This window comes from Homo sapiens, chromosome 7 (genome assembly GCF_000001405.40).
Source record: "Homo sapiens chromosome 7, GRCh38.p14 Primary Assembly".
In the NCBI taxonomy this organism is placed as follows: Eukaryota; Metazoa; Chordata; class Mammalia; order Primates; family Hominidae; genus Homo; species Homo sapiens.
In genome coordinates this window covers 6,592,446-6,615,576 of record NC_000007.14, presented here as the reverse complement: position 1 = coordinate 6,615,576, position 23,131 = coordinate 6,592,446, and the positions used below count along the sequence as shown (strand labels likewise).

Genomic DNA, 23,131 nt, shown 5'->3' with positions numbered 1-23,131 from the left:
GGCATCCGCATCCTGTCCCCCGCCCCTGCCCGCCCGCCGCGCCCCCGCGCCCCGGCCCCCGCCGCCGCCGCCGCCGTCGCCGCCGCCGCTCTAGGCAGCCGCAGCTCGGTGGGCTTAACCATTCCCGGCCCGGCCACTCACCCGGCCCGGGGGACACGATGCGGCGGCCCCTGGGGCGTCCCGGGCTGGCCGGTGCCGAGCGCAGCGCGCGCTGTGCCGCATCCCTGCTGCGCGTGTCCTCGCGCCACGGGGTTGGCGACTGTCACTGCCTGGGTGTCTGGGTGGGGGGTACCCAACCCGATCCCTGCCACCCCCTAGAGGGCAGGCGTGGCCTCGGGGCGCCCCTGCCGCGGTGCAAATTGTGGCTAATTAGCACACAATTCGATGGCACTCGGAGAGGGAGTAGGCGCCATCCGGGCCCGGCCCGAGCGGGCCCTGGAGAGGCCACCCCGGTCCGCACCGTGGAGCCCTCCTCCTAGACCCCGGGGCTGGGGAGGGCAGGCCAGTAGGGAGTGTGTGCCTCCCTCCCCCGATCAGGGACTGTGACCTGCATAGATCAAATGAGGCCACCGTGGAGAACTGGCAGAGCTGGAATCCTCCCGCCCAGCGCCCCTGCGGCCTTTCGCTGACCACAAGGCTGGTGGTCAGGCCTCCCACCTCCCTCACCCTCTCCTCTCCTCTTTCCCTACTTGGCAAGTGGATTCCTGCCTGGGTCAGGGGTCTTCTCCAAGGGAGGCCTTCCCTAACCCCGTCTTAATGTTGCACCACCTAACTTTCCTGTTCTCGGTGCACAAACCTCTCTAACCTGGAGAATTCAAATTCAAATTGGGATGCTCAAATTCTTTAGAAAAAACCAAAGATCTGGGGGCAGGGCATGGTACTTCACGCCTGTAAACCCAGCATTTCGGGAGGATCACTTGAGGCTGGTAGTTTGAGACCAGCCTAGCCAACATAGCAAGACCCCATCTCTACAAAAGAGGTTTTTAAAAAATTAGCTGGGCTACTGAAAAGTAGCCTGTAATCCCAACTACTTTGGAGGCCAAGGTGGGTGGACCACTTGAGCCCGGGAGGAGGTCGAGGCTGCAGTGAACTATGATCGCGCCACTGCACCCCAGCCTGGGTGATAGAGTGAGACCCTGTCTCCATCTAAAAACAAGCAAACATGCTGGGCGCGGTGGCTCACGCCTATAATCCCAGCACTTTGGGAGGCCGAGGCGGGCAGATCACCTGAGGTCTGGAGTTGGAGACCAGCCTGGCCAACATGGAGAAACTCCATCTCTACTAAAGATACAAAATTGGCCGGGCATGGTGGCACATGCCTGTAACGCCAGCTACTCTGGAGGCTGAGGCAGGAGAATCGCTTGAATCTGGGAGGTGCTCCTGGGGTGCAGCAGGAATGCCCCCCTGGTGGGGGACAAGAGCCCTCAGGGTTCACAGCCCCCTCCCTTCCTCCTGTCCCTGGGCTCACACTGCTGTGGCACAGGTGGCCACCTTGTCCTGTTTTTGGAATCTCTCTGGCCCCCACAGGCACTGGAGTTTCAGGCTTCCTTTCTGGCCCTTGCCTGAAAAGCCTGCACTCTGGTGGCTTCTGCCCCAGGCTAGAAAAAGTGCAGCAAGAGCCTGGCTTTGGAGACAGAGTCATCTAGGGTCATGGGACCTTTTGCAGCCAGGTAACTGCAGGCAAATGACTGCCTTGCGTCTGTGAAGTGGAGATGACAGCCTGCTAGGCAGGATAAGGACGAGCAGATAAGGTGAGGAGGATATGGGCAGGAGTTTAAGATCAGAGCAGGTGTGCACCTGCCTCTTCTAGCCTCCTGCAAACCCTCATGCCCTGAGGAGCCCCTCCCTCCTCAGGTCTTTATCCTCTCCCTCCACTGGCTTCTTTCTGACAGGATTTACACATCCTCAGGGCTCTCCCATCTTAAAAACATGCTACCCGGGCCAGGCGCAGTGGCTTATGCTTGTAATCCCAGCACTTTGGGAGGCCAAGGCAGGAGAATCGTGAGAGCCCTGGCTTTGGAGGCTGCAGTGAGGCATGATCATGCCACTGCACTCCAGCCTTGGCGACAGAGCAAGACTGTCTGCTGGCCGGGCACGGTGGCTCACGCCTGTAATCCTAGCATTTTGGGAGGCTAAGGTGGGCAGATCATGAGGTCAAGAGATAGAGACCATCCTTGCCGACATGGTGAAACCCTGTCTCTAATAAAAATACAAAAAAAAATATATATATATATATATATATATAGTTTGGCGTGGTGGCGCATGCTGTAGTCCCAGCTACTCAGGAGGCTGAGGCAGGAAAATCACTTGAACCCAGGAGGCAGAGGTTGCAGTGAGCCGAGATCACGCCACTGCACTCCAGCCTGGCGACAGTGTGAGACTCCGTCTCAAAAAAAAAAAAAAAAAAAAGACTGTCTGTAAAACATAAAAGAGCTACCCACTTCTCTCTCCTGCCCTTGACAGCCAAACTTCCTTTGCCATATCCCCATCTGCCCATCCCTCCTTCTCCTCTCTGACCTGGCCTCACTGCAGCCAGACAACTCCCCGTGACGTCACCAGCAATGTCCACGTCACTAAACCCTCATCATATTTGGCCTCTGGGCAGCACTGGACACTTCTGCCATGCTGTCCAGGGAGAAACACCTCGGTTCACCTTCCTCTTGGCCCCTTCTCTGACACCTTGCAGGCTCTGCTCCCCTCCCCTAGGCTCGTTGCTCACCTGTGCCACCAGAGAGGGGTCCCACCCAGTCCACACACAGTTCCTCCCACTGAGCTTTTTGTGGTTTGTTTTTGAGACAGGGTCTCACTCCCATTGCCCAGGCTAGAGTGCAGTGGCACAATCACAGCTCACTGCAGCCTCAACTTCCCAGGCTCAGGTGATCCTCCCATCTCAGCCTCCCAAGTAGCTAGGACTACAGGGATGCACCACCACACCAGGCTAATTTTTTTTGTTGAGACGAGGTCTCCCTATGTTGCCCAGCCTTGTCTTGAACTCCTGGCCTCAAGCAATCCTCCCACCCCAGCCTCCCAAAGTGCTAGGATTAACAGGCATGAGCCACTGCACCCAGCTATTTTATTTATTTATTTATTTAGAGATGGAGTCTTGCTCTGTCACCCAGGCTGGAGTGCAGTGGCGTGATCTCAGCTCACTGCAACCTCTGCCTCCCAGGCTCAAGTGACTCTCCTCCCTTAGCCTCCCGAGTAGCTGGGAACTACAGGTATGTGCCACCACGCCTGGCTAATTTTTGTATTTTTAGTAGAGACGGGGTTTCACCATGTTGGCCAGGCTGGTCTCAAACACCTGACCTCAAGTCATCCACCCGCCTCAGCCTCCCAAAGTGCTTGGATTACAGGCGTAAGCCAGCATGCCCGGCCTGGGCTAGAATCTTTTTTTTTTAGATGGAGTTTCACTCGTTTCCCGGGGGGAGTACAATGGCTTGATCTCGGCTCACCACAACCGCCACCTCCCAGGTTCAAGTGATTCTCCTGTCTCGGCCTCCTGAGTAGCTGGGATTACAGGCACAAGCTACCACACATGGCTAATTTTTGTATTTTTAGTAGAGACAGGGTATCACCATGTTGGCCAGGCTGGTCTCGAACTCCTGACCTCAAGTGATCCACCTGCTTTGGCCTCCCAAAGTGCGGGGATTACAGGCATAAGCCAGCATGCCCGGCCCCAGCTAGAATCTTTTAGTAAGCCTTCCCACATCCTCCTTTGGAGCTATAAATACCTCCCAGCTCAACTTTCCACCTAGCCAATCTGGTCAGGAAGGTATTTGCTTCACTGTTTCCCAGGGGCGTTTCTTCAGGGGCTTCCTCCCTGCAGACCCACACTGGGCAGGCTGCTGTCAGAGCTGCTGCCCACTGTCAACCTGGGACCCCCCCCTCCACCGCCGTCCTTCCGGGATTTGCCTTTGTTATCCTCATACTAATCCCTGTTCTCACACCATGTCTGTCTCTTTCTTATTTTTTGAGTCAAGATCTTGCTCTGTTACCCAGGCTGGAGTGCAGTCGTGCCATCATGGCTCACTGCAGCCTTGAACTCCTGGGTTCAAGTGATCTTCCTGTCTCAGCTTTTCCTTTTTTTTTTTTTACAGAGTCTTGCTCTGTTGCCCAGACTGGAGTGCAGTGGTGCAATCTCAGCTCAGTGCAACCTCCACCTCCCAGGTTCAAGTAATTCTCCTGCCTCACCCTCCTGAATAGCTGGGATTACAGGTGCCTGCCACCACACCCAGCTAATTTTTGTATTTTTAGTAGAGATGGGATTTTGCCATGTTGACCAGGCTGGTCTTGAACTCCTGACCCCGTGATCCACCTGCCTCGGCCTCCCAAAGTGCTGGGATTACAGGTGTGAGCCACTGTGCCCAGCCCTGTCTCAGCTATAGATTATAGATTGGCAATTGTTTCCCCTCAGAATGTTAAAGACACTTTTTTTTTTTCCAAGACAGAGTCTCACTCTGTCTCCTAGGCTGGAGTGCCGTGGTGCAACTAACAGTTTCATTGTCTTCTAGCTTCCAGAGTTGCTAGTAGAGAAGTCCAGTGCCATTTTGATTATTGATCCTTTGCGCCTGAGAAGAAAAGCTGGTGGGCCAGTAGCAGGTGCCTTGAAAGGGAGTGGAATAAGACAGACTTAGAGCTGCTCCCAGACGGCAGCTGTGGGGCTGCAGGAAGTTTGTCTCCTCCTGGAGATGATGGAAAAGATTTGGATTCTGTTCTGGGGAGGAGCAGCAGACTAGGGAGAAACACCAAGATTAATGCTGCAGTGAGCATCGATGATGCTGCCCTTCATTTTAATAGAGCACGTTCTCAAGAGTCCTTCCCTAGAAATGCTTGCATTCTCTGAATAGAATAAAAAGGAAAATAAAAATAATACAATTTTAAAAAACGGAAAGCATGCATTGGCAGTGGTCTAGTGTGCAAATGTCGGTTGTCACTCTTCAGGTCAAACACCCAATAAATGCCATCAACCGTGCCAGGACAGGGAAGTGTGTTGCATGAAAATAATCAGCCAGGAACGGTGGCTCACGCCTGTAATCCCAGCACTTTGGGAGGCCGAGGCAGGTGGATCACAAGGTCAAGAGATCGAGACCATCCTGGCCAACATAGTGAAACCCTGTCTCTACTAAAAATACAAAAATTAGCTGGACGTGGTGGCAGGTGCCTATAGTCCCAGCTACTTGGTAGGCTGAGGCAGGAGAATCACTTGAACCCAGCAGGTGGAGGCTGCAGTGAGCCAAGATGACACTACTGCACACCAGCCTGGTGACAGAGTGAGACTCTGTGTCAAAACAACAAGCAATTGGGGTTCAAGTGATTCTCCTGCCTCAGCCTCCTGAGTAGCTGGGACTACAGGTGCACATCATCCCACCTGGCTAATTTTTGTATTTTCAGTAGAGACGGGGTTTCACCATGTTGGCCAGGCTGGTCTTGAACTCCTGACCTCAGGTGATCTGCCCACCTCGGCCTTCCACAGTGCTGGGATTACAGGCATGAGCCACTGCGCCCAGCCAATTTTCTCTTTTTTGAAACAGAATTTCACTGTCACCCAGGCTGGCATGCAGTGGCACAACCTTGGCTCACTGCAGCCTCTGCCTCCTGGGTTCAAGCGATTCTCCTGCCCCAGCCTCCCGAGTACCTGGGATTTTACAGGCGCACACCACCACGTCCAGCTAATTTTTGTATTTTTAGTAGAGATGGAATTTCACCATGTTGCTAAGGCTGTTCTCGAACTCCTGGCCGCAAGTGATCCGCCCACCTTGGCCTCCCAAAGTGCTGGGATTACAAGCGTGAGCCACTGCGCCCGGCCCCAGGAGGTTCAATTTCTTCCCTGCAAGGTAAGCTCCATCTTTCAGTGCTCCATGTTTGCTGTCTCTCACTTCAGGCTAGGAGAGCCAGTGACATGGTTCCTGATCTTTCCTTCCTCCTGAAGTCAGTTAAGGGAGGACTCCAAGCAGACACCTTCCCTTTTCAGTAGGAAAAAGATCCCCGACGGCTGTTTTGTACCTGAGAGAAGAAATGTGACCCAAAGCAAATAGACCTGAAGCAGGCTGGGCGCAGTGGCTCACGCCTGTAATCCCAGCACTTTGGGAAGTCGAGACTGGTGGATCACCTGAGGTCAGGAGTTCGAGACCAGCCTGGCCAACATGGTGAAATCCTGTCTCTACTAAAAATACAAAAATTAGCCAGGCGCGGTGAAGGGCGCCTGTAATCCCAGCTACTTGGGAGTCTGAGGCAGGAGAATCGCTTGAACCTGGGATGTGGAGGTTGCAGTGAGCTGAGATCACATCACTGCACTCCAGCCTGGATGACAGAGTGAAATCCTGTCTTAAAAAAAAAAAAAGACCTGGAGCACTCTATGCCTGCTGACCTCAGCTGCCTGGCTCAGCTGGGAACATAGGTGTCCAAGCTGTTTCCGTCAAAAGAAATGACTAAAAACTACGACGATCATAAGACATTGGGAAGGAGGCCAGGTGCAGTGGCTTACACCTGTAATCCCAGCACTTTGAGAGGCCAAGGTGGGCGGATCGCTTGAGCTCAAGTGTTCAAAACCAGCCTGGGCAACCTAGCAAGACCCCATCTCTAAAAAATACAAAACATTAGCCGGGCGTTGTGGCGTGCACCTGTAGTTCCAGCTACTGGGGAGGCTGAGGTGCCACAATCAATTGAACCCGGAAGGCGGAGGTCGCAGTGAGCCGAGACCATGCCACTGCACTCCAGCCTGGGCAATAGAGTGAGACTCTGTCTAAATAAAAAAAAAAAAAAAAAAAAAAAAAAAGAGATTGCTAAGAAAATACCGCAGTTGGAAGCAATATTTATGAAGCTGTTAAAAATACATTCCATAAAGTCTACATGACTGTTTAGAAAAATTTATTTGAACATATGAAAGGAAATTTAGACACCCCCAATAAAACTGAGAAGTTCCTTTCCGAGGTGAGGGGAATTCCTGACAGCCTCCCTGAGCAGTGCTGCACATAAGCTTGTGGTCACTACGCAGCCTGGGCTCAGCTCACGGGGCTGCAGAAGGAGCCCACTTTTTCTGGCGGGGACACATCGTCTTCACGAGGAAAGAGGCCAGACACACGGGCTTGCACCCGTGGCTCCTGCCGTCACACTCCTCGCCACACAGGCTGTGTCTGAAATGCGCAGAGAACAGAGGCTCCCAGGATCGGCATCTTTTAAAAATGCACGCAGCAGGCTCTCGGCAGAGGCTGGACTCTTCCCTCCACCATCCAATCTGCATGTCAAAGAATGCGACCGGGTGGGAAGCACCTGGACTCCGTGACACCAAGACGGTTCTGCCGGCGGGGAGGGGCTGCCCGACCCCTTCCCCGAGGTTCTCTTCTGGGAGTCCGGCCACCCCTTCCATCTCGAAAGGCTTCGTCCAGCGAGAGCGCAGAAGGCACACACGGGCCAGCCTAGCGGATGGGCCTGAAGGGAAAGGTCACGCCGGAGATGAAGGTGTGGCCGGGATGCGTGGGCAGGGCGGGGTGGGCGGCGGGGTGGGCCGGGACAGCCCCGTAGCCCAGCGGGGGCGTGTGGATGTGGGGGTAGAACCCCGGGGGGAGCGCGGCGTGAGGCGACTGCTGCACGGGACCCGAGATCACCAGCTGGAGGAGGCTGCGAACACAAGCATAAGCGTCAGCGCGGGCGGGCTCCGGGGACTCCGCAGGTGCGCACGGTAGGCTGACCCCGTCCCCCCGCACCCCGCCCAGGAGAGGCACCGACACAGGCACGGACCACCCGGGGGTCCAGGCGGTGGACACGGAGAAGCAGTGGCAGAGCCAGGACCCCACAGGCGAGGATGCGTGGGAGTGGGCTCTGCACGGGGCCTGTGGCCCACGGAGCTCCGGCCGTAGCACTCCCGGGCGCGCAGCCCACACAGGTGGCCTCCACGTCAGCCTCTGCGGCTCTCTGCTGCGCTGGGACACACAGAACAGCTGGCCACAGTCTCCTCAGAGCCGAGAATGACCGCGCCCTACCTGAATTCCAAGCAGAAGCCCCAGGAAGCTGGCCTTGCAAACGACCCCGAAATTCAGAGTCCTGAAATTCAGAATGAGTCCGGTGCGGCCCCCTCGGGGACGGCCCAGGCCTGGACCCAGCCGTTACAGACCTCCGGGACCCACCCACCTCCCACCCCGCCCCGCGCAGCCTCAGCTTCAGATGCCCCCACTCTTGGGCACCCACCCCGCCCAGCACCCAGCACCGGGGCTCCGAGAACAGCTGCAAGCACGGTCTCCCCATCCGCCACCGCGCTCCCACCAAGGCCTCCGGGCCCCAGAGGCCTGGACCTCCCGTCCTGGTGGTACAGCACAACCACGGCCCGCACTTCCTGGAATCCTCCTCCCAGCAAATTCAACGTGGCTTTCCAACGCTGGGTCCCTTCCCAGACTCCTGAAAGAGTTTCTCACGGCCCTTGCCTTCTAACCACGCCCTCCCCAGGATGATCCCCCAACCCCCCAGAACTCCCTGGCTTGGCTCATCACCCCCAGCTCCCCCAGCCGAGGCGAGGGCTGCCCCGCTCTGTGTCAGCCGGAAACGACCAACTCCCCATGGGTTCTCCCCAGTCAGAACCTCTCTTGGCCGGGTCTGGTGGCTCACGCCTGTAATGCCAGCACTTTTGGAGGCCGACTGCTTGACGCCAGGAGTTCAAGACCAGACGGAGCAATACAGTGAGACCCTATCTCCACAGAAAATAAACTAAAAATTAGCTGGGCGTGGTGGTGCACACCTTTAGTCCCAGCTACTCAGGAGGCTGGGGCAGGAGGATTGCTTGAGTTCAGAAGTTCAAGGCTGCAGTGAGCCATGAGCCATGATTGTGCCACTGCACTCCAGCCTGGGAGCCAGTGTGAGTCCCTGTCTCAAAGAAAAAAAAAAAAAAAAAGGCCCTCTGGGGCCCTTCCCAGCTTCAGGTCCCAGGCCTCCTCCCTACCCTGCCTTCCCCTTGCTTCCCCCATCGGAAGCTTCTGCTGCAGACAGAGGGGCTCTGCCCGCCCCTCTCCTGACCTGCCCCAGGATCTTGCTCCGGCTGGGTCCTGTGTCTGCAGCGCCTGCACTGGTCTCTCCTAACACCAAGGCCAGCCTGCCGGGTTCTACTCACACCCCGTCACTTAGCCAAGGCTCCGTCCCTGCATATTATCCTAACTGGGTCCCACAACAACCCGTTTTCCCAGCCACGGCCCTGCCTGCTCTCTGTCTACTCCCCCATACTCCATCAAGGGGCTGGTCTGTCACAGACTGAACCCCCAAGCTCCCCAGTACAAAGGCTTGGGCCCAGGGCCCCCAGGAGGGGCTGAGGCAGTAAACAGAGGGTATGTGGAGGGCTGGTGCATTCGGTGCCCAAAGTTCTTCTGAGCCCCCTTTCTTTCTGTTACTACTATTAAATAACCCTGGGTAAGTAACTTAGCAAGAGATTAACGAACCCAAGGAGGAGGTACTGCAGAGTACTGCAGAGGCCAAATTTCGGTCATGTGATGATTTGAACCTGTACACACCCTGCCGGAGATAGAAAGCACTTCAAGAAGTTTCCAGTCTATTTGGAAACACGGTGAACACAGAGACTGTCACAAATCTAAGAGGTAGGCCAGGCGTGGTGGCTCACACCTGTAATCCCAGCACTTTTGGATGCCGAGGAAGGCAGATCACCTGAGGTCAGGAGTTCGAGGCCAGCCTGGCCAACATGGCGAAAACCCGTCTCTATTAAAAATACAAAAATTAGCTGGGCGTGGTGGCAGTTGTCTGTAATCCCAGCTATCCGGGAGGCTGAGGCAGGAGAATCGCTTGAACCCGGGAGGCAGAGGTTGCAGTGAGCCGAGATCACACCACGGCACTCCAGCCTGGGTGACAGAGCGAGACTCTGTCTCAAAAAAGAAAAGAAAAGAAATGTAGGAGGTATTCCAGGCGACCCCCTGTCCTTCCCCAACAGCAGTGCCAGGCCTGCCCCGGGAGGTCAGGGCTCCCCAAATCTGCGTCAGGAGAGGCGGCCACCAGCTCCTTGGAAGGGATGGAGTCAAGAGTCTCCAGGGCAGGACCAGCAGGGGACTGCTGATTAGTTCTGGGGGGCTCTAATGTGGACCCCTGGTTATAAGACTCGGATGATACACAGGATTTGTATCCTGCTGTCTTTTTAATTCCCTGAAGAAAACATTAAAATGTTAAATAAAAGCGGTGGACAAAGAAGGGAACTATCACAAAGGGATTCCTGCAGGAGGGGAAAGGTGCCAGCTGATACCAACAATGTTCTTCGATGCTGTGGAAACTTCTAGAACCCAGACCAAAAAAAGGAAAAAGAGGCCAGGTACAGTGGCTCATGCCTGTAATCCCAGCACTCTGGGAGGCCGAGACAGGCAGATCACTTGAGGTCAGGAGTTCGAGACCAGCCTGGCCAACATGGCGAAACCCTGTCTCTACTAAAAATACAAAAATTAGGCGTGGTGGCAGGCACCTGTAGTCCCAGCTACTCAGGAGGTTGAGGCAGGAGAATCGCTTGAATCCAGGACGCGGAGGTTGCAGTGAGCTGATATCAGACCACTGCACTCTAGCCTGGGTGACACAATGAGACTCTGTCTCAAAAAAACAAAACAAAAAAAACAAAGAGAAAAAGAAAAAGAGGAGAGGAAGAGTGTGGGCCCCTGGGAGAGGTGGCCCTCTGATCTGTCTGTGCTGCTGTCATGACACCTCACGCAGGACAGTCTTATCCCAGAGACTGTTCCCTTCCGCCCCCTCAGGCTTTGTACCCATCCAGACATCTGCCCCGGCTCCTCCCTTGCAGAACCTGGCAGAGTGAGTGTGGCACGGATGGGAGTCCCCAACCCCCACACAAGGATGCGGTTCCTCTGCAGGCTGTGGACCAGCATCCGGCTGAACCCTGGACTCGAGTTATGCATGTTTCTGTCTCAGCCTGCGAGCGCTGCCCAGCGCTCTGCTGCTGGACCTGACACGGCCACTGGGCCAGGCTGAGGCTGTGTGCACCCCCAGGGCTGCCGAGCCACTCACTGACCCTCTGTCCACACTGCTCACCAACACCTGCCCTGGAAGCCTGCTTCTCCTTGCTAAAGACCAGTGTGAGGGCTCTGAAGGAAGAACATTACTAACCCCACCAAGCTCACTTTGTCATTTCTATAAACCCTGTCCATGTGCACAGGGGTTCTGCTTTCCACTATCAACATTTCCTCCCCAGCAGTCAGTTACTATTTGTAGCAGATGCATAATGTTCCATCCTCCTGAGGTATCACAGCTCATTTACTAAGTATCACCCCGCTGTAGGACAGGTTGTTTCCAGTTCTTTGCTAGTTAGTAACTGCATCGGTATGAAACATTTTTTGTGCATACAAAAATCAGCCTGCTGTGGTGGCGCACACCTGTAGTCCCAGCTACTTGGGAGGCTGAGGTGGGAGGATGGCTTGAGCCCAGGACGCAGAGGCTTGCAGTGAGCCGAGATCGTGCCACTGCACTCCAGCCTCTGCAACAAAGCAAGACTGTCTCAAAAAGAAAAAAAGCAGCTGACACTTTTTAGATATTCACTACAGGCCAAGTACTAGTTTAAGTGCATTCTGTGTTTTCACTTTTTCTTTTTTTTTTTAAGAGACAGGGTCTTGCTCTGTTGCCCAGGTAGTACAGTTGCGACCACAACTCAGTGCAGCCTCAAACTCCTGGGCTCAAACAATCCTTGTGTCAGCCGCCCGAATGAATAGCTGGGATTACAGATGCACGCCACCATATTTGGCCAATTTTTTTTTTTGAAACGGAGTTTTGCTCTTATTGCCCAGGCTGGAACGCAATGGTGCGGTCTTGGCTCACTACAACTTCTGCTTCCTGGGTTCAAGCAATTGTCCTGCCTCAGCCTCCCAAGTAGCTGGGATTACAGGCACCCGCCACCATGCCTGGCTAACTTTTGTATTTTTAGTAGAGATGGGGTTTCACCATGTTGGCCAAGTTGGACTCAAACTCCTGACCTCAGGTGATCCGCCCACCTTGGCCTCCCGAAGTGCTGGGATTACAGTTGTGAGCCGTGCCCAGCCTTTTTGTTTTTGTGAGACAGAGTCTGGCTCTGTCACCCAGGATGGAGTGCAGTGGCACGACCTCAGCTCACTGCAAACTCCGCCTCCTAGGTTCAAGTGGTTCTCCAGCCTCAGCCTCCCAAGTAGCTGTGATTACAGGTGCATGCCACCACACCTGGCTAATTTTGTATTTTTAGTAGAGATGGGGTTTCACCATGTTGGCCAGGCTGGTCTCAAACTCCTGACCACAAGTGATCCACCTGCCTCGTTCTCCCAAAGTGCTGGGATTACAGGTATGAGCCACCACATCTGGCCTTTTTATTTTTTATTTTTGACAGAGTTTCACTCTGTTGCCCAAGCTGGAGTGCAGTGCCATGCTCTTGGCTCACTGAAACCTCCACCTTCCGGGTTCAAGTGATTCTCCTGCCTCAGCCGCCCGAGTAGCCGGGATTACAGGTGCGCACCACCACGCCCGGCTAATTTTTGTATTTTAAGTAGAGACGGGGTTTCACCATGTTGACCAAGCTGGTCTCGAACTCCTGACCTCAGGTGATCCACCTGCCTCAGCTTCCCAAAGTGCTGGGATTACAGGCGTGAGCCACCACACCCCAGCCCTGGCCTGTTTTCACTCATTTAATCCTCACAAAAATCTTACGGTGAGAAGCTGGGGTAGGCAAGAGGGACATGAGGCAGGTCCCATGGTTTTCTTGATTTTACACATGAGGACTTCAGGCAGAAGGCAGGGAAGCTGACCAAGGACATATGGACTTTTGGAAGTGGCAAGGCCCGGATTCTCTCCAGAATCTGACCACAGTTCCCACTTTTCACCTGATGACTGCGTTTGTGGAGGTCTCCACGTGGCAAGGAGTAGGATGAGAAATTCACAAACACCACTGGGTCTCATCCTCACTACCGTCCTGTGAGTCAGGGAACAGTATCACCCCCATTTTACAACGGGGTAAGCTGAGGCATAGAGACAGGTCAAGAGACTTCCCAAGTGTCACAGCCAATCCCAGACAGGGCCGCGCCCAGAACCCAGGTCCGTGCCGCCTGATGGCCAAGCGCTGGCAGCTAGCCTAACAAACGTACAGTGCTGTAGGGCTGTGGCTCTGCGAGACTTCCCAAAGGGCTGTGCAGTTCACAGTGCCACCAACAGAGGGCCCCCTGCGCCACACCCACCACTCAACAGGTGCACCTTCACTAGGGAGCTTTCGGTGATACAGGGACTGGCCTCTCTCACAGACTACCAGCAAGATGACCATTTTTCAGGTTTACTTTCTACTTGAGTTCCATTCACGTGCGTTTTCTGATGCTCCACTTATCATCATGTGCTTACTGGGCTCTCCCCAAAGAACCCAGGACAAAGGGGCTCGCCCTGTCTTGCCTCCCTCCACCCTGCTCCAGCAAGCTGGCCCAGCTAGGAGTCCTGAGGATACTTACTTATTATGGGGCAGCCTGGAGCACAAGGTTCTCAGGTCATCTGCAATTAAGGAGATACAAGATTAATGAACATACTGGAGACAACACGGTGAAATACACACTGACGTTCTTTGCAAGGATGCTAGCAAGACAGCAAGAGCGCCTCATACTACATTTCCCTAGTGTCATTTAGAAACTGAGTTCTAGCCGGGCGCAGTGGCTCACGCCTGTATTCCCAGCACTTTGGGAGGCTGAGGCGGGTGGATCACCCGAGGTCAGGAGTTTGAGACCAGCCTGACCAACATGGTGAAACCCCATCTCTACTAAAAATACAAAAATCAGTCAGGAGTGGTGGTGGGCACCTGTAGTCCCAGCTACTCAGGCGGCTGAGGCAGGAGAACTGCTTGAACCTGGGAGAGGGAGGTTGCAGTAAGCCGAGATCACACCACTGCACTCCAGACTGGGCAACAGAGTGAGACCCTGTCTCGAAAAAAAAAAAAAGAAAGAAAAAAGAAGAATCTGAGTTCTCCTTGTCTTCAATTTTTGCTTTAAAAAACCCGTCCCCTGGCTGGGTGCAGTGGCTCACGCCTGTAATCCCAGCATTTTGGGAGGCTGAGGCGGGCGGATCACTTGAGGTCAGGAGTTTGAAACCATCCTGGCCGACATGGTGAAACCCCGTCTCTACTAAAAATACAAAAATTAGCCAGACGTGCTGACACATACCTGTAATCCCAGCTACTTGGGAGGCTGAGGCGGTAGAATCACTAGAACCCGGGAGGCAGAGGTTGCAATGAGCCGAGATCGCACCACTGCACTCCAGCCTGGGCAAAGAAGCGAGACTCCACCTCAAAAAAAAAATAAATGAATAAAAATAAATTATGCCTCAATAAAAAAGGACAAGGACAGGCAGAGTGGTAATCCTAGCACTTTTGGGAGGCTGAGGCAGGAAGATCACTTGAGCCCAAGAGTTTGAAACCAGCCTGGACAAGATGGTGAGACCCTGACTCTACAAAAATCTTTTTAAAAAATTAGCTGGGTGTGGTGGTACACACTTGTAGTCCCAGCTACTCTGTGGCTGAGGGAGGAGGATTGCCTGAGCTCAGGAGCTGGAGACTGTGGCGAGCTACGATCGTGCCACTGCACTCCAGCTTGGGCAACAGAGTGAGAAACCCTGTCTCATAAAAATAAATAAAGAGAAATAAAAATAAAAAAGGACACAGAAAAAGAAACGGCACGGTGGCTCATGCCTGTAATCCCAGCACTTTGGATGGTAGAGGTGGCACCAGGTGACCATCCTGGCCAACATAGTGCAACTGTCTCTACTAAAAATACAAAAATTAGCCAGGCGTGGTGGCGCATGCCTGTAGTCCCAGCTCTTCGGGAGGCTGATGCACGATGATTGCTTAAACCCAGGAGATGGAGGTTGCACTGAGTTGAGATCGTGCCACTGCACTACAGTCTGGACAACAGCGTGAGACTCCGTCGCAATAAATAAATAAATAAAAATAAGATAAAATAAAAAAGAAAAAGGGTTCCTTGGAAGGAAAGCTATCTAGGCTCTCAAGGAGTCCCCAGTCCTGGGCGACACTGAGACCTCCCATCTGTGGGATGTTAGGACCCTGACGGGGTGAGCAGGGAGGGTGGAATGCAGGGGGCACGGCTGGGGCACCTTCCTCCCCTGTGTTCACTAGGAGGAAAAGAAGTCCTAAATGAAGCAAAAACAGTGTCTGTCCAGGAGCCCCTCCTTCCTTCTGCAGGGCGGCGGTGTCCCCGCACCAGGAGGCCTGGGCCAGGGAGGCACCCACCTCTCGTGCACAGCAGAGCTCCTGAGGCCATGGCCACCTGCAGAGCCTGCGCCAGCCGGTCCAGCGAGAGCTCAATCTCCTGGGAGGCGTTGAGGGGGTTCAGTTCATCCGCCAACCTGTTGATCTCCTCTACCAGCGGGACCATGTGGTCGAAGAGGATCAGCCCCAGGCGCCCATACAGATTCTTCTCGGTCAGGTGCAGCTGCAGCGTCATGAGCACTTGCAGGACGCTGAGGTGGAGTTTTGAGTACAAGAGGTGGGAGTCTCTGTCCATCCCCACGCCCGGGTCCTTTGTGACCTTGTTGCTGACATGGCCATTGGATAAGGGGGGCTTCTTTTTCCTTTTATAAGCCAGGGGTGCCTTCACGCACCAGCGGATCAATCCAACGAGCGGGGTGAGCTCTAAGAATCCTATTGGCAGATTGGCCGCAATCGGAGTATTTAAAAAAGTGATGAGAATCAACCTTGGGTCCTCAAAAATCCAGGTGACAATCATTTCAAGCAAGTCCATAGGTGGAATGAGGTCATCTGCAAACAAAGACCATTAGGTCAGGAGCACTCTTGGCCTCGAGGACAGGGGCGGGAAGTGGAGAGAGGGAAGCCTGACCCCAAGGCCCATGGCACTGCCCACCTGATGGTCTGGATCACGCCTCCTGGCTTAGCTATTTTCTGTCCCCTTTCCTAGAACATCCACACCAGGGGGACTGGGAGTCTCATCTCAGTCACTGTCACATCCCAGTGCCCAGGACCCTGGAGCAAGGGAGAGGCTGCAGAAATACTTAAGTCTACAATTCCCTGGAACTCCAACATGCTTTGGAGAAATTGCCTCCTGCATGTTAATTTAGATAAAATTCCACGGTTTTTCTATCCCACACTGCCACACGTCACCCCTTCCCTGAGTACGTGTCCTCCCGGTGCTCAGTGTCTCCTGTATGGGGCAGTGACAGCAATGGTGGCCTTCAGGGAGCAGCTCAGAGTCCTGTCAGTGATCTGGCTGCTGCCAAGGGCCGTCCCAACCCCAAACTTGGAACCCTCATCTAAGCAACCCTCAGAGATGTGATCCCTGAGACCTGGCAGGCTCTGTGGCCCAGACAGAGAAGAACAGATGGTGACACTTAGTCTGGGCTTCCTATGAGCCCGGCACAGGTCTCAACGCTTTACACAGACGAACTCGTTTAATCCTCCCTCCACCCCAGCAATTAGTCTCATACAAAGGACAAAGAAACTGAGGGACAGTCATGTCAAGTGATTTCCCCAGGACTCGTCGAAAGTATATGGCCCAGGCTCACACCTGCAATCCCAGCACTTTGGGAGGCCAAGGTGGGAGGATCACTTGAGTTCAGGAGTTCGAAACCAGCCCTGGAAACATAGTGAGACCCAGTCTCTACAAAAATTCTTAAAAGTTAGCCGGCAGTGGTGGTGCACACCTATATTCCCAGCTATTCAGGAGGCTGAGGTAGGAGGATCACTTGATACTGGGAGGTGAAGGTTGCAGTCAGCTGTGGCTGTCCCACTGTACAACAGCCTGAGCAACAGAGTGAGATCCTGCCTCAGGAAAAAAAAAAAAAATACACACACACACACACACACACACACACACACACACACACACACACACACAAAGCATACAGCCCAGATCTGACCTCAGCAGCCTGGCTTTTAATCAGGAGGCTATACTGTGCATGCGGGGCTTGGTGTGCAATGCCCTTAGGCTGCCTGTGTGCACAGGAGGGCGTCCTCAGCCCCCTCTCTCTGGGGCTGTGCCCACCATCTGAGATGATTCCTGCCAACTGTTGGAGTATGAACCGCCCTGCCCACCTACTGCAGTGAGACGATGGCTACAGCGGGGAGCAGCTGCTGTCCTGTGTGCCTTTTTTTTTTTTTTTTTGAGATGGAGTCCCACTCTGTTGTCCAGGCTGGAGTGCAGTGGCGTGATCTCAGCTCACTGCAAACTCTGCATCCCGGGTTCAAGCGATTCTCCTGTCTCAGCATCCCGAGTAGCTGGGACTATAGGCGCCTGCCACCACACTGGCTAATTTTTGTATTTTTAGTAGAGATGGGGTTTCGCCATGTTGGCCAGGCTGGTCTCCAACTCCTGACTGCAGGTGATCCGCCCACCTCGGCCTCCCAAAGTGCTGGTATTACAGGAGTGAGCCACCCGTCCCGGCCACGTGTGCAGCCTCTTGATTCCACAGAGATGTTTCTGTTTGGGCAACACCAGGTCATACCCACCTCTCCAGTGTATCCCCGCCCCCTCAGATCTGAGCTGACGCATCTCTACCAGCCTGTAGAAAATGTGTGCGTGTGCACACTTGTGCAGGTGTGCCCTCATCATACACGTTGGCATGTTCGCTTCATGAGTCCTCAGTCTCTAGGATCCCAGTTAGGGTCTCTAGAGTCCCACGTTCTCAGCTCCATCCAGGAAAGGGGGGATATAATTATGTGGGTATCTTCCTTTTTGTGCTTTGAAGACACGGGCTCCCCAAGAATGCTCTCCTGTTACCAGAAGTGCCCAACAGCGGTTTCAGTCACCATTCGGATGGTGACTTCCAGGGCCACTGCTGTGTGGCAGTGACTTGAGAAATCACCAACATCTCAACGGACATACTGGCTTAAGAGAAAAACAGTTTCAGATCTGCTGTGCTGTGTCAGTGGCATTCCCTGAATATTCTTTCCTGTTCCATATGCTAACTCATCCCTTCCCCATGGTAAGGCCAGTTTCTGTTTTTGTTGGCCTGGAATAACCAATGACTTAAAAGGTAGGTCGGGTGTGGTGGCTCATGCCTGTAATCCCAGCACTCTGGGAGGCTGAGGCAGGGAGATCACTTAAAGTCAGGAGTTTGAGACCAGCCTGGCCAAGAGGGTGAAACCCTGACTCCACGAAAAATACAAAAATTAGCCAGGCGTGGTGGCGCATGCCTATAGCCCCAGCTACTCAGGAGGCTGAAGCAGGAGACTCGCTTAAACCTGGGACATGGAGGTTGCAATGAACCGAGATCACACCACTGCACTCCAGCCTAGGTGACAGAGTGAGACTCCATCTCAAAAAAAAAAAAACCAAAAAGCCAACTATGATACCATAGCTGGGTTCAGTGAAATCTTTCCTATTGGAAGATGAAAGACCTGAATACCACTCCCACCTGTTAACAGCAATTAGGAAGCCTTTGGAGGAGAGAGAAGGGAAATCCCACTGCAGCAGCGTGGCCCTGCTCCCCAACACCTGCCTCCCATTCCACGAGGAAACTGCTAGGAAAAGAAGAGTATGAAATTAGCATATGCAGCTGGCACAGTGGCTCACGCCTGTAATGCCAGCATTTTTGGGAGGCCGAGGCGGGTGGATCACGAGGTCAGGTGATCGAGACCATCCTGGCTAACACGGTGAAACCCCATCTCTACTAAAAATACAAAAAATTAGCCGGGTGTGGTAGCGGGCGCCTGTAGTCCCAGCTACAGGCTGAGGCAGGAGAATCGCTTGAATCTGGCAGGCGGAGCTTGCAGTTGAGTCGAGATCGCACCACTGCACTCCAGCCTGGGCGACAGAGCGAGACTCTGTCTCCAAAAACAAACAACAAGAAAGAAAGAAATTAGCGTACGAATATGCACGCGCTTGCATGTTCACAATATTTCCACACAAACTTTCTCAAGAGAGTTACAAAACCTAACAACAAGAAAAAAGGTGGCCGGGCACAGTGGCTCACACCTGTAATCTCAGCACTTTGGGAGACTGAGCCAGGTGGATCATCTGAGGTCAGGAGTTCAAGACCAACCTGGCCAACATGGTGAAACCCCATCTCTACTAAAAATACAAAAAGTAGCCGGGTGTGGTGGCGCACACCTACAATCCCAGCTACTCGGGAGGCTGAGGAAAGAGAATCTCTTGAACCCAGGAGGCAGAGGTTGTGGTGAGCCAAGATCATGCCACTGCACTCCAGCCTGGACAGCAGAGTGAGATTCCGTCTCAAAAAAAAAAAAAAAAAAAAGGGTGACAGATAAAAGAAGGCTCGGCTGGGCGCAGTGGCTCACGCCTGTAATCCCAGCACTTTGGGAGGCCGAGATGGGTGGATCAGGAGGTCAGGAGTTCGAGACCAGCCTGGCCAATATGGTGAAACCCCATCTCTACTAAAAATACAAAAATTAGTCAGACATGGTGGTGCGCGCCTGTAGTCCCAGCTAGCTACTCAGGAGGCTGAGGCACGAGAATTGTTTAAACCCAGGTGGCGGAGGTTGCAGTGAGCCAAGATCATGCCACTGCATTCTAGCCTGGGCGACAGAGGGAGACTCTGTCTCAAAAAAAGAAAAAAAAAAAGAAGGCTCAAAAATAGTCAGGAGGCTGGTGGGAGACCAATACTGGACTGAATAAAAATGACAGATGCTGTTGAAGGCTTTCAAAGTGCTGGTATGGCTATCAGACCAGGAAGAGAAAGAGACTATTTGTCAGCCCTGTGAGCAGCAACAGCCAAGGGCAGAGGAGGAGGAATCAGAAACAGCAGCAGAAAAGCAGGTTTTGTCAGCCAGGCCTGGTAGTGTGTGCCTACAGTCCCAGCAACCTGGAAGGCTGGGGTGGGAGTATCACTTGAGCCTAAGAGTTTTGAGGCTACAGTGACCTATGACTGCACCACCGTATTCCAGCAGCCTGTGCAACAGAGCAAGATTCTATATCCAAAAAAGTAAAAAAAATTAAAGAAAGTATGGGGATGATAAGAAATCAAGTCATATGTCCAGGGAGTGGGTCACATCTCACAGACACTAGAGCTTGCTTTCTGGGCTGCCTGCCACTTGGACCATTGCACCTCAGGCAAATGGGTATCACTAATAGTTCCCTCTTAGCAAACTGCACACGTCCAGGTGGTCCACACCTTTAGCTTTTAACCTAAATTAAAAACACACATTTCAGGCTGGGTGCAATGGCTCACACCTGTAATGCCGACACTTTAGGAGGCCGAGGTGGGAGGACTGCTTGAGTCCAGGAGTTCAAAACCACACTGGGCAACACAGTGAAACTCCATCTCTACAAAAAATATAAAAAATCAGCCAGACATGGTGTTGCAAACCTGTGGTCCCGACTACTCAGGAGGCTGAGGGAGAATTGCTTGAGCTCAGGGTTCAAGACCAACCTGGACAACATGGCGAAACCCTGTCTCTATAAAAAATACAAAAATTAGCCAGGCGTGGTGGCATGCACCTGTAGTCACAACTACTCGAGAGGCTGAGGCAGGAGAAACACTTGAGCCTTGGGGGCAGAGACTGCAGTGAGCTGGGATCACGCCTCTGCACTCCAGCCAGGGTGACAGAGTGAAACCCTGTCTCAAAAAATAAAAAATAAAAACTCAGCTGGGCACGGTGGTGCACACCTATAATCCTAGCAGTTTGGGAGGCCGAGGCGGGTGGATCACTTGAGATCAGGGGTTTGAGATCGGCCTGGCCAACACATTAAAACCCCATCTCTACTAAAAACGCACAAAAAAATTAGCCAGGAGTAGTGGCGCATGCCTGCTATAGTCCTAGCTACTCGGGAGGCTGAGGCAGGAGAACTGCTTGAACCTGGGAGGGGGAGGTTACAGTGAGCTGAGATAACACCACTGCACTCCAGCCTGGGCAACAGACTCCATCTCAAAAAATAATAAAAATAAAAATATACATTTCAGAGACAAAACAGCCAAAGCATTCACTGGACACTTCACCTGGGTATTCAGTGGAAAATAAAACTAGCCATTGACTGAAGCTTCTTCCATAGAAATAACCTGTTTAAAGTTTACCTGATGACAGGTCATAGAGCGCGGTAACGGAGGTGATGAACTGGCAGCAGAATCTCGGGCTGGCACTGAATATCTGCTTCAGCGTCTGAATGGATCCCGGCACCAAACAGCAGTAGTCATCTACAAGGGCCTTGGCTAACCTCACACAGTAAACCACGGGCGTCCGCTGGAAAGAAGCCACACAGTCCACTTAACTACAGATGTCGTGAGTGAGTAGACCAGCAACTATGCACACACAGTGACCACCTCCAGAAATGGCAGAACCACTTCCAAGACAAAAAAAAGATGTTAATGGGGCCGAGTGTGGTGGCTCATATCTGTAATCCCAACACTTTGAGAGGCCGAGGCGGGTGATCACCTGAGGTCAGGAGTTCGAGACCAGCCTGGCCAGCATGGTGAAACTCGTCTCTACTAAAAATACAAAATTAACTGGGAATGGTGGGGCATGCCTGTAATCCCAGCTACTTGGAAGGCTGAGGCAGGAGAATCACTTACACCTGGGAAGCAGAGGTTGCAGTAAGCCAAGATCACACCACTGCACTCCAGCGTGGGCAACAAAAGCAAAACTTCATCTCAAAAAAAAAAAAAAAAAAAAAAAAGTTAAAGGCTTACACTGAAGCAGGGGTGGGCAATCTGAAGCTCACTGACCAGGCTGGGCACGGCGGCTCATGCCTGTCATCCCAACACTTTGGGAGGCCGAGGCGGGAGGATCACTTGAGCCCAGCAGTTCCAGATGAGCCTGGGCAACACAGCAAGAACCCATCTCTATAAAAAATAGAAAAAATTAGCCAGATATGGTGGCACATACCTGTAGTCCCAGCTACTCAGGAGGCCGAGGCGGAAGGATGGCTTGGGCCTAGGAAGGTTGAGTCTGCAGTGAGCCCCGTGGTCACACCACTGCACTCCAGCATGAGCAACAGAGCAAGACCGTCTCAAAAAAAAAAAAAAAAACAGAAAAACACCACCTGACTGGGTGTGGTGGCTCATCCCTGTAATCCCAGCATTTTGGGAGGCCGAGGCAGGCGGATCACAAGGTCAGGAGATCGAGACCATCCTGGCTAACACAGTGAAACCCCGTCTCTACTAAAAATACAAAAAAATTGGCCGGCACCACTGATGGTGGGCGCCTGTAGTCCCAGCTACTCGAGAGGCTGAGGCAGGAGACTAGGGTGAACCTGGGAGGCAGAGCTTGCAGTGAGCCGAGATCGCGCCACTGCACTCCAGCTTGGGCGACAGAGAAAGACTCTGCCTCAAAAAAAAAAAAAAAAAAACCACCGCACAGACCAAATTTGTCCCACCACCCGTTTTTGTTAACAAAATTTCACTGAGACGTGATCGCGCTTATTCGTTTGCTTACTGCCTAAAGCTGTTCTTGCACTAGAAGGAAAGAGGTGAGTAGCTGTGAAAGAGACTACAGGACCCGCAAAGCCGAAGACAGTTCACTATCTCGCCCTCTACATAAAACATCTGCCAGCTCTTGCTTTACAGTTTACTTAGGAAACATCATTTCTGCCTTCAGGTGAGGAAATGACAACTTCTGTACCCTACAGGATCCCAGGTGAGATGCCACAGGTAAAAATTAACAGCTGCTATCACATTGAAGAGATTCAGGAGAGTCAGTGAACTGCCACATGATGAAAATGTGTGTTTACAGCAGTACTTGCTAAATTTCTCTTAAAATCTTATTCTTAAGCTGGGCGCAGTGGCTCATGCTTATAATCCCGGCACTTTGGGAGGCTGAGGCAGGAGGATCGCTTGACCTCAGGAGTTCGTGACCAGTCTGGGCAACATGGTGAAACCCTGTCTCTACAAAAAAATACAAAAACTAACCAGGCATGGTGGTGTGCGCCTGTGGTCCCAGCTACTTGGAGGGCTGAGGTAGGAGGATCACTTGAGCCCAGGAGGCAAAGGCTGTAGTGAGCTAAGATTGCACCACTGCACTCCACCCTGGGTGACAGACTGAAACCCTGTCAGAAAAAAAAAAAGAAAAAGAAAAAAAAACACACCCTAATTTAAAAAAAAAGTTTTTTTTTTGAGACTGAGTCTCACTCTGTAACCCAGGCTGGAGTGCAGTGACACAATCTCGGCTCACGGCAACCTCCGCCTCCCATATTCACACGATTCTCCTGCCTCAGCCTCCCAAGTAGCTGGGACC

At 53.0% G+C, this 23,131-nt stretch overlaps 1 protein-coding gene across 7 annotated transcripts in view, besides 4 other annotated features; it reads right to left on the bottom strand.

Annotated features, from left to right (window-relative positions):
* Window positions 330-1,083: an enhancer, noted in NCBI's record as "H3K4me1 hESC enhancer chr7:6654125-6654878 (GRCh37/hg19 assembly coordinates)". NCBI's record gives its function as "activates a minimal SCP1, AML or CMV promoter by ChIP-STARR-seq in naive H9 embryonic stem cells {active_cell/tissue: H9 hESC(naive)}" and the evidence as "EXISTENCE:reporter gene assay evidence [ECO:0000049][PMID:30033119]".
* Window positions 1,084-1,837: an enhancer, noted in NCBI's record as "H3K4me1 hESC enhancer chr7:6653371-6654124 (GRCh37/hg19 assembly coordinates)". NCBI's record gives its function as "activates a minimal SCP1, AML or CMV promoter by ChIP-STARR-seq in naive H9 embryonic stem cells {active_cell/tissue: H9 hESC(naive)}" and the evidence as "EXISTENCE:reporter gene assay evidence [ECO:0000049][PMID:30033119]".
* The window catches only part of INTS15 (integrator complex subunit 15), an 18,706-nt gene continuing 2,425 nt past the window's right edge, over window positions 6,851-23,131 (bottom strand). For 2 of the 7 annotated variants that reach the window (XM_005249845.6, XM_017012614.3), the window contains exons 3-7: window positions 20,977-21,142; window positions 15,221-15,748; window positions 13,437-13,476; window positions 7,980-8,040; window positions 6,851-7,617 (exon numbers count right to left, since the gene is read on the bottom strand). In XM_005249845.6, coding sequence (XP_005249902.1) covers window positions 7,057-7,617; window positions 7,980-8,040; window positions 13,437-13,476; window positions 15,221-15,748; window positions 20,977-21,142 — 1,356 coding nt within the window. In that variant the 3' untranslated portion in view covers window positions 6,851-7,056. Of the gene's footprint in view, window positions 7,618-7,979; window positions 8,041-12,824; window positions 12,914-13,436; window positions 13,477-15,220; window positions 15,749-20,976; window positions 21,143-23,131 lie in introns of all 7 variants that reach the window. The other 5 variants (XR_926946.4, XM_011515518.4, NM_001303039.2 and 2 more) reach the window with 5 other exon arrangements.
* Window positions 12,965-13,259: a silencer, noted in NCBI's record as "tiled region #9377; HepG2 Repressive DNase unmatched - State 25:Art, and K562 Repressive DNase unmatched - State 12:CtcfO". NCBI's record gives its function as "represses a minimal TATA promoter and a strong SV40 promoter by Sharpr-MPRA in HepG2 and K562 cells {active_cell/tissue: HepG2 | K562}" and the evidence as "EXISTENCE:reporter gene assay evidence [ECO:0000049][PMID:27701403]".
* Window positions 17,702-17,894: a silencer, noted in NCBI's record as "fragment chr7:6637314-6637506 (GRCh37/hg19 assembly coordinates)". NCBI's record gives its function as "represses an EF-1alpha promoter that drives an FKBP-Casp9 reporter gene in an ReSE screen in K562 erythroleukemia cells {active_cell/tissue: K562}" and the evidence as "EXISTENCE:reporter gene assay evidence [ECO:0000049][PMID:32094911]".